The sequence below is a fragment of the Homo sapiens genome, chromosome X, assembly GCF_000001405.40.
Source record: "Homo sapiens chromosome X, GRCh38.p14 Primary Assembly".
NCBI lineage: Eukaryota > Metazoa > Chordata > Mammalia > Primates > Hominidae > Homo > Homo sapiens.
The window spans coordinates 68,817,357-68,827,668 of NC_000023.11; the positions used below are offsets into that span (position 1 = coordinate 68,817,357).

General features: G+C 49.0%; 2 annotated features.

Annotated features, from left to right (window-relative positions):
• Positions 5,785-6,285: an enhancer, noted in NCBI's record as "H3K4me1 hESC enhancer chrX:68042984-68043484 (GRCh37/hg19 assembly coordinates)". NCBI's record gives its function as "activates a minimal SCP1, AML or CMV promoter by ChIP-STARR-seq in primed H9 embryonic stem cells {active_cell/tissue: H9 hESC(primed)}" and the evidence as "EXISTENCE:reporter gene assay evidence [ECO:0000049][PMID:30033119]".
• Positions 6,286-6,786: an enhancer, noted in NCBI's record as "H3K4me1 hESC enhancer chrX:68043485-68043985 (GRCh37/hg19 assembly coordinates)". NCBI's record gives its function as "activates a minimal SCP1, AML or CMV promoter by ChIP-STARR-seq in naive and primed H9 embryonic stem cells {active_cell/tissue: H9 hESC(naive and primed)}" and the evidence as "EXISTENCE:reporter gene assay evidence [ECO:0000049][PMID:30033119]".

Consider the following 10,312-nt stretch of genomic DNA (forward strand, 5'->3'; position numbering starts at 1 on the left):
AAAAAAGGCACTTAGACCAATGGAACAAAATAGAGAACCCAAAAACAAAGTCAAATACTTAGAGCCAACTGAAGTTCGACAAAGCAAACAAAAATATAAAGTAGGGAAAGGATACCCTATTCAAGAAATAGTGCTGGGATAATTGGCAAGCCACATGTAGAAGAATGAAACTGGATCCTCATCTCTCACCTTATACAAAAATCAACTCAAGATGGATCAAAGACTTAAATCTAAGACCTAAAACCATAAAAATTCTAGAAGATAGCATTGGAAAAACCCTTCTAGACATTGGCTTAGGCAAAGACTTCATGACCAAGAACCCAAAAGCAAATGCAACAAAAACAAAGATAAATAGATGGGACTTAATTAAACTAAAAGGCTTCCACACAGTAAAATAAATAATCATCAGAGTAAACAGACAACCCACAGAGTGGGAGAAAATTTTCACAAACTAGGCATCCGACAAAGGACTAATATCCAGAATCTACTAGGAGCTCAAACAAATCAGCAAGAAAAAACAAACAACCCCACGAAAAAGTGGGCTAAGGACGTGAAGAGACAATTCTCAAAAGAAGGTATACAAATGGCCAACAAACATATGAAAAAATGCTCAACATCACTAATAATCAGGGAAATACAAATCAAACCCACAATGCAATGCAATACCACCTTACTCCTGCGAGAATGGCCATAATCAAAAAATAAAAAAATAAGAGATGTTGGCTTGGACGCAGTGAACAGGGAACACTTTTACACTGCTGGTGGGAATGTAAACTAGTACAGACACTATGGAAAACAGTGTGAAGGTTCCTTAAACAACTAAAAGTATAACTACCATTTAATCCAGCAATCCCACTACTGGGTATCTATCCAGAGGAAAAGAAGCCATTATATGAAAAAGACTCTTACACATGCATGTTTACAGTGGCACAATTCACAATTGCAAAAATATGGAGCCAGCCTAAATGCCCACCAACCAACGAGTGGATAAAGAAAATGTGATATATATATCACATTGTATATATATATATACATACACCATGGAATGCTACTTAGCCATAAGAAGGAACAAAATAATGGCATTCACAGCAACCTGGATGGAGTTGGAGACCATTATTCTAAGTGAAGTAACTCAGGAATAGAAAAACAAACATCGTATGTTCTCACTCATAAGTGTGAGCTAAGCTATCAGGATGCAAAGGCCTAACAATGATAGGACTTTGGGAACTCAGGGAAAGGGTGGGAGTGGGCTGAGGTATAAAGGACTAAACATTGGGTACAGTGTACACTGTTTGGGTGATGGGCGCACCAAAATCTCAGAAATCACCGTTAAAGTTATTAAACTTTTTCATGTAACCAAACACCACCTGTTCCCCAAAAACCTATTGAAATAAAAAAATATGGGAACAACAGACACTGGGGTCTACTAGAGGTGGGGAGAAAGGGAGGGGGGCAAGGGCTGAAAAGCTACCTGTAGGGTACTGCGCTCACTACTTGTGATGGGTTCAATCATACCCCAAACCGCAGTATCATGCACTATTCCTTTGTAACAAACCTACACATATACCCCTTGATTCTAAAATGAAAGAGAAAAGAAAAACAAAAGGACAATGTGGTATCAGTACAAAGACAGAAAAATAGAGCAAGGGAATAGAATAGAGTCCAGAAACAGACCCACACATATATGAATAACTGATTTTTTACATTATCAATATTCCTTGCAAGATGAGACTATAAAATACATCTTGGTCACTCTGTCTTGTGCCAGCTACCATGTCATGAGTAACTCTTGGGAGATCCCCATGTGGCAAGGTACTGAGGTCTCTTCCCAACAACCATGTGAGTGGGCTTGGAATCCCCTAGCCTCACTCAAGCCTTCCGATGGCTCCATCCTCAGCCAAGTTTGACCAAAACCTCGTGAGAGAGTTGGAACCAGAACCTCTCAGCAAAGCCACTACTAAATTCCTGCTCCTCAGAAACTGTGTGACATAATAAATGTTTGCTGTTTTAAAGCAAAAAAAAAAAAAAAAAAAAAAAAAAAAAAAAAAAAAAGCTAGACATGGTGGTGCACACCTGTAGTTCCAGCTGCTCAGGAGGCTGGGGTGGGAGGATCACTTGAACCCAGGAGATGAAGGCTGCAGTGAACTGTGATCACTCCACTGCATGCTAGCTTGAGTGACAGAGCTAAGACTCTGTCTCCAAAAAGGGGGCAAATTTTATGGTATATAAATTACATTGCAATAAAACTGTTATAAAGTAACAAACAGGCTGGGTGCAATGGCTCATGCCTGTAATCCCAGCATTTTGGGAGGCCGAGGCAGGTGGATAACCTGAGGTCAGGAGTTCGAGACCAGCCTGGCCAACATGGTGAAACCCCATCTCTACTGCAAATACAAAAATTAGCCAGGCTTGGTGGTACGCGCCTGTAACCCCAGCTACTCGGGAGTCTGAGGCAGGAGAATTGCTTGAACACGGGAGGCGGAGGTTGCAGTGAGCTGAGATTGTGCCACTGCATTCCAGCCTGGGCTACAGAGCAAGACTCCATCTCAAAAAAATTAAAAATAAAAAATAAAAAAACCCACCACCAAAACCAAAAATGAACAATCTGAAAAACAGTAACATAATAAAAATAATGGCCGGGTGCGGTGGCTCACGCCTGTAATCCCAGCTCTTTGGGAAGCCAAGGCAGGCGGATCACCCGAGATCGGGAGTTTGAGACCAGCCTGACCAACATGGAGAAAACCTGTCTCTACTAAAAATACAAAATTAGCCAGGAGAGAAGCATGCCTGTAATCCCAGCTACTCAGGAGGCTGAGGCAGGAGAATCACTTGAACCCAGGAGGCAGAGGTTGCAGTGAGCTGAGATGGCACCACTGCACTCCAGCCTAGGCGATAGAGGGAGACTCCATCTAAAATAATAATAATAATAATAGTAGTAGTAGTAGTAATAATAATAATAATAATAATAATAATAATAATAATAATTTGGGCTCTAGACCTCAGAAAGTTCCAAGAAAAATGAACATTCTTAATATGTAAGTTGTTCTTACAAGTTAATTTTAAAAATCACAAAAGCAAAGGAGACAAATACCCAAAGATGAGACTAGACACAAATGGCTAATAAATATGTGAAGAGATCAAAAAGACAGCGAATAAGGGCTATGACCTCCATGTCGCTTGCTATATAAATGTCTCACTCATTTAACCCTCACACCATCCTATGAAGTAGGCTCTCAGCTTCTTGCAGGGAATGCCGCAGACTACTCAGGACTGTGTATCACCTTGTCCCACTCATGGTTCTCTCCTGACCTGCAGTGGTGGAGTGTGCCCCCACAATGCCCATCTGGGCACCATTGACTCCAGTGGCCTGACTTAATCCAAGGGGTCACTGAAGGTATCAAGAGAATTCACTGGACTGCACACTTTCAGGCAAGACTCCTGGAAACATTATTTCCAGAAGTGGGAGTTTTGCTATATGCTAGGTGGCAGCACCTGAGCCCATCTTCCCTAATGAGCTCCTGGAGTGCAAATATTCTGTGTGGCAGGCTACATGCAATATGTGCACACCCATCAGGCTTAGCAATTGGCCGGGCTGATAGGGAAGTTGTCAGCTGCTGATGGAAGCTGAGTTGCCCAGCGAGGGCACGCACACCCCTATGAGGAAGACCACTGTGCTCATGCCCAGCAGTGGACCCTGGAAGGCCCTGCTGGCAGGGCTGAGATTTCCTGCAGGAAGCTGTTCTGTACTACACCAACTGGAGGAAAAATGGGTAATCACAGTCACAGACTCCTGGACCTTATTGCCTAGCTGTAGCAATTTCAGCCTGGACATTTTTAAAAGCAGGTGTTACCAATCATCCCCTTTGGACATAAAACCCCGTAATAAAGTGTCCACGGAAAGTCCATCCTGAAACCTGCAAGCTCGGGTCCTTGCAGAATAGGCTTGGGAACCTGACTGGGCTGCCTGCTTTTCAGGGTTATTAACTCCAAGCCAGGGCCTCATTAAAACACGAATGGTAGGAGCAGGCAAGGGAAGGAGAGGAGGGTTGGAACACCTCAGACCCCCACAGTGGGCTCTTTTCCTTACTAGCCAGAGCTGACTCTTCACACCAACGACTACTAAGAACTGAGTGACTGAAAGAGAGTCTCAGGTGAGTGGCTTCCATGGGGAGGGGAGAAGGTAAGGGCGACCTGCCTCAGTTTCCTCCAAGATCACCAGGTTGGAGAGAGACAAAATGTCTCAGGGAGCCATGGACAAGAGTGAGGGTGGGGTTGGTGAGCCCTCTACTCAAACGTGCTTGTTGGTTTGGGATTGGTGGCTAACTGGAAATGGCATGTGGTGAGGGGAAGTGACTTGAGTGTCTCTCTCATCTCTTTAAGTCTCAGGTCCTGGAACCTGCCAGGGTCAGGGGAGGCCCAGCAGTGTTTGTGAACTGGACTCACCTATGCTTATTCCTGGGAGAGACTGGCAGGATCTCTGTTGGAATCTCCCTCTTCGGTCCTGGATTCTTGACTTTTTCACGCATCTGATGTCTGTAGGAGTGTCCTAATTAGCTATAGCCTCTGTGTGTGACAGGATCTGGGAGACTGCTCATCTGGCCTGGGCAATCTGTCCTTCTGTCAAATGGTGAAACCAGAGAAGACTTTCCCTGAGATGAGGAGAGGGGAGCAGGAGGAAGGATGCAGAGCTAGTCCCTCCATGTTCCATGGAGCATACAAGTCTTTGCTGTGGCCAACACCATTCCTTGACATCAGGGGCTGAGCTGCAGTCATCTCCGTGTCCCTCCCAGGAATAAAGGCTGTGTCTGGCATGTGGCTGATGTAGATATTTGTGGCTTGGAGCCAGAGAGACCTGCATAAAACTTTGGGTTCTGTTGCTTACTGGATGGGAGACACTATTTAAGTCACTTGGCTTCTGAGTGCACCAGTTTCCTCGTCTGTATATAGAATGAGTTTCTTATGAGAAAATGGATACAAACAATCTGGAATGTAGTAGGTGCTCAATAAATAGTGGCTGTCACTACCACTACCGCTGCCATCATCACCATCACCATTAGCATCTGTGGAGTGCCTCCTGTATGCCCATCCTTATGCTTGGCCTTGATGCATAAAGATAAAGGAGAAGCAGTCAGTGGTTTCTGCCCCAGGTTAGTATCTAGTGAGACAGCTAAGATGTACACAAATAATGAAAATCCAAGTGGAGATCTCGGGCAGTACAGTCAGAATATGGAGCTCAAAGAGAGGAACAGTCCCTGTGGGCTAGGGCCTTCCAGGAAGGCTGTCCAGAGGAGGTGGGTGCTCAGGCAGGCCTGAATAGATTAACTTCCAGTGTCTGGAGGGAGGATAGGGAGAAACGAGGGCGTTCCTGGCTTAGCTCAGCCCAGGCCAGCACCGGAAGCTGGCCGTGTCCCGGTCTTCTGTTCGGCTGCTGGGGGCGAGGCTCAGTGCTGGTTCAGCTTTAGGGATGCAAATACTTAGCTGGCCATCAGAGGTCGACAGAGTTTGAGAAATAGGCAGGCTACTAGGGAGCGGAAAAGATTGCTTGGGGACTCCACCACTTTGATTCAATAACCTGTCTCTTTTCCTCACCTCTTTTACTGCCTCTTTTCCTCACCTCTAAGATCACACCCTCTCCCTCCCTGGTCTTTGGAGCCCTAATTCCTTCAGGCACTAAGTTAGTGCAGAAGCTCCCAAACTTCCTGTATTCTGCACCTCTGCCAGGGACACCGATCCCAGGAGGAAAGTTCCCTCCCTCTCCACACCCCACCCTTCCCAGTTAAGGCAGGGGCTGCCGCAGGCTCTGCTTTGTGTCCTGGAGAAAGGCTGTGGAAGAAAAACAAGCCAGGCCAGGGAGATTGATGTTCCTCTGAGGGGCTGGCTTCCTGGCGAGGAAGATGCTGAGTGGTTTGTCAATCGAGGTTTGTCAGGGCCTCAGCCTCACCCCAACACTTCTTTGGGCAGCCCTGGAGAGGAGGATGTCTGGTGGGGGTGGGGCGGGGAAGGCTTGGTTGAGAGACTAAAGGCTTAGAGACTGGGCCCTTACCAGGACCTTCCTCATTGAAGGTGGGAAGGAAGGTCTCTAAACCAAGATAGACTAAATTGTGAGTGGGGAGGGGAGGTGTCAGACATCCTGGCTGGGTTGGCTGAGGGGCAGCTGGAGGGTGGTGGGCCTGGGTGCCATATATCTGCCAGTGGTTATCTGGCCAGCTGGGTCCAGCCCCTATTCTGTCCTCGGGATGCCCCAAGAGGCTCGTGGTCTCTCTCCTGGTAGGCCTGGGGTTATCAGCCAAGAAAGCCCAGAACCTGACCCTTTAACCTCCATGGTTGGGTGGGAGGCAGGATGCTAGCTCGGAGTCCAGAGAGGGCTCAGAGCTAGGGGGCTGGAGCACTGAGGAAGCAGCTTGTCCTTCCCTCTGCTCCTCGGTTGCCCAAATGCACTCTCGGCTTGGGGTGTTCCTCCATAGGAACTTTATTCCCGGTGTTTGTGGGGCCTGACGTGTCTAGTGTGTTCACTCGGGAACCAGGAGGAGGACCTGGCAAAGATGCATCCCATCGCCCTCCCCCAGGCCCACTGGCCCTCTGAGATGAGGAGCTAGGCTGGGGTCAGTGACAGATGAGGACAGGTGCTGCTCCCTTCCCTCGAATTCCTGTGCCCCTGACAGTGATGAATGGCCCAGCCTAGCCTTGCACATTCTCCAGGTAACCAGAGCAAGAGAGCAACAGGCTTACCCTTACCTAGGCTGCCTCCTGCTGGGCTGGAGAGCAGAGGACAGGGGCACTACTGGAGGAAACTGAGCCTAGATCAGTGAAACCCAGCAGGGCAGGGGTTTCTGAAGATGAGGCCTCTGAGGGCCCAGGGTCCCAGCTGCCCTTCAGAGGCTTGTCCACCTGTTATGCACACCAAGCCATGCTCTGGCTCTCAGATGCCCTATTTCAGGCTCTTACAGGGACAGGGGGGCAGGTCATTTGCCTGCATGGAGCTTGAGGCTTTGGGACAGATGTCTAGGAGTCCAGGGTAGGGGTAAGGGGTATGAGGAGGAGATAAAGAGAGAAGGAGGGAGGGGGACCAGACCCATCTGAGGGAGAGAGGGGCTCCTCCCATCCCTAGTGCCATTCTGCCATCAACCTGACACAGGCTAGCATCTGGCAAATCAAGATGATCTCAGTGCAAATACCCATAAACCAGGCATGCAGCTGGGGCAGGGACAGGGAAGGGCTGGGGAGAGAGTCTGGCTGAACCTTTGGCCTTTGGGACGACCCCCTTCTTCCCCAGCCACCGGGAACTCTCGTGGGTGCAGTGAAAACAGACTTCCAGATCTTACCCGCCTGAGGCTAGATCTCACCTAGCCCTGGGGTATGATGCAGCCACGTGGGGAAAGGAGGAAGAGTGGGAAGTCTCAGGTCCCACCCCAGGCTTGCCCAGAGACTGACCTACAGATAGGGTGAATTGGAAAAAAGCAAAGTATTCATTGAAGAGAAAGGGCAACCCAAGATCAGCATAGACCCCAGCTGGTCTCAGCTAGGAGGCAAGTGTGGGCAGAGGGAAGGACAGCAGAGAAGGGGGTGGTGGGAATAAGCTGGCTGAGCAAAAGAGCACTTTGCAGACTGAGGTTGGTGGAGCAGAGGATGCAGCCAGATTGAGCCTGGAGCCTTAGTTTTCTCATCTCTAAAACAGGTCTATCAATATCAACCTCAGGGATGTTGTGAAGATTAAACAAACATAATAGAGCACCAGGTGAAAGCACCCAGCCACACTGCCTGGCATACAGTAGGTGTTTAATAAATGGTAGCTCTCCCTCTCCTTGTAGGGAATAGGTGCCAGTGTATGTGAGATGTGCAGGTACAGGTAGTAGGTCTTCTAGGAGGAAAATAGGAGGCATGGGGCAGGCTAGAGATGACTGCAGACAAGAGAGAGGGTTGCTAGCCCCACTGGGTTGTCCCAGTTGGCAATGCCTTGGACCTCAAGTTAGGATCCTTGCTCCCTGACTCTTCAGTCTGCTTTTCTAACTGTTAGCTCTGGCTGGGCCTGCTGGCTTTCCCAGGCCCACACCTTGGCACACACTCCTTTCCACAGCCTTGGTATATCAGTGTGGCCTAGTTTACATCCTGACTTTTCCACTTCCTGGCTGGGTGGCCTTAGGTGAGTTATTTCACCTCTCTGTGTCTCAGAGTGCAAGGCAGGCAGGGAGAAGTCAAGGACAAGGGCCACAGAAATAGAAAGGTGTGTGCATGTTCATACACATGTGTAGATGATAGTGAACATGAGAAACTCTGGGGGCTAGATTTTAAATTCCACGAGGACAGTACCCGGTCCTGCCACCTTCTGCTGAATAAATGGATAGGTGAGAAAGAATGAGAGTTTGTGTGCATATATGTACAAGTGTGTGAGAATATGAGAGGAGATAAAAAATGTGCATGTGCCACACAAAGCATGTGTGAACAGGTGAGAACGTGTGTGACTGGGGATGAGAGTGTCTCTGTGGGAGGCTCTGCAGAAGAGTAAGAGTTTCCATTTAGTAAGTACCACAGTGGGCCAGGCATGATACTAAGCCCTTCACATGCATTGTCTCATTCACCCGTCACCACGGCTCTGTGAATGAGGGACGACCTCTAGGTTACAGACAAGTAACTGAGGCACACAGAGGTGAACTGACTTGCCCAAGGAGACACAGTTCATAAGCAGGGAACTCTGTGGCTCTGAAGTTTATACCTCCCTGCTGCTCATGGGTGTGGGAAGCTGAGCTCAGAAGGAGCAGCTCTGCTCTCCCAGGGCTGCACGATGCCCGAGGCTTCCTGCAGCTGCCAGATGTTCTCCTGCATCTCTGGGTCCAGGATCCCCCACATACAGGTATCAGTGTTTGGTGTTCCTTGTGGGCAGGGCTTGTTGGAGCTGCTCTTTGTGTCAACAGGGATGGCCCCGCTCAGAGGTCAGCACAGAGGCACTGCTCAGGAAATGCTGGTGGACTTGAAACCTGATAGTTGTGTGTGTGTGTGTGTGTGTGAGCACGTGCGTGGATGTGTTTGTAATGACACAGTAACCTGGGAGAAATGGGTGGGGAGTGACTGCCAATGGTATAGGGAGGGCTTGGATGAGAGGGCCCCCATTGCTCACAGATCCTGACTTCCTCTCAGGCTCCCTTGGGAGTAATTTTTCCCTACCTCGGGGGCCTGAATCATTACATCTGAGGCCCCGCCAGGGTGGGTCAGGAGGTGGGAACCTGGAATCACTGGCCTAGCCATGGCAGGGAGTAGGCTCAGCTCTGCTCCTGAGGCCCCTGTAGCTGGTGTGGGCAGGTTGAGGCAGAAAGGCTGTGCTGTGAGCAGGGATAAGTAGCATGTGGAGCAGGTCTGGACATAAAGAGTCTTCTTCTCATTTCCTCTGCCACCCTGCCCACCGGGATTAGGTGCTGGCACACTCAGGAACTGCTTGTCTTCCCATGTTTCCCAAGACTGGCCGCATAGCCTCATCTCCCCATCCCCCACCTGGCCTTGGGCTCTCCTCCTGTGGGGCACCGGGCATGCTGGCTGTGGGGAGGAAGAATCAAGGCTGGCTCTAGGGTTGGCAGTGGTGGTCTTAGATGAGAAGAACTCTGGGCTATGGCCAGGAATATAGATGAACTTTCCAGGCCTGGCAACCTCTTGAAGGACAGTGAGGGAAGAGTCCTGGCCAGCCCCAGGCTGCTGCTGTCCATGCACGACCCAGCCTTAACCAGGAATGAACCAAAGAAGCAAAGAAGCAAGGATTGGCTGGGAATTTGAGCCAGTATGGTACAGGGGAATGGCCACAGGCTTTGGAGACAGATGTCCCAGGAGTCAAATCCTGCTTTCACCACTGATCAGCTTGGTGATCTCAGATGAGTCACTTCTCTCTGAGCCTTACTTTCCCCTGTAGGTAAAATGGGGATACTGAAACTCATTTCAAAAGGTTATGAAAGGAAAAGCATCTAACTTGGTTCTTGACAATAGTAGGCACTCAGTAAGCAGCAGGCTGCTTTCTGTATTCAGGTTTTGATGTCCTAGCATGCACTCCAGGGATCCCAGTCTCCCAGCTAGACTACTGGTGTGTCCCTACACCCTATTCATCTCATCTCTCCTTCCTTACACCCCAATGCAGGGTCCAGCTGAGAGCTCAGAGACCCCAAACAGCTCCTTCTTTCCCTACCTACCCAGAGCCACTTCACCCTCAAGGGCTGCCCCTGGAAGTGGGAAGGGCCCAGATTTTCCCTATTTTCTCCTCTATTTGGGAGAAAATAAAAAGACAAAATCTGGGCTATTCCCACCTCTACAGCCACAAAGATCATCAGAGGATCCA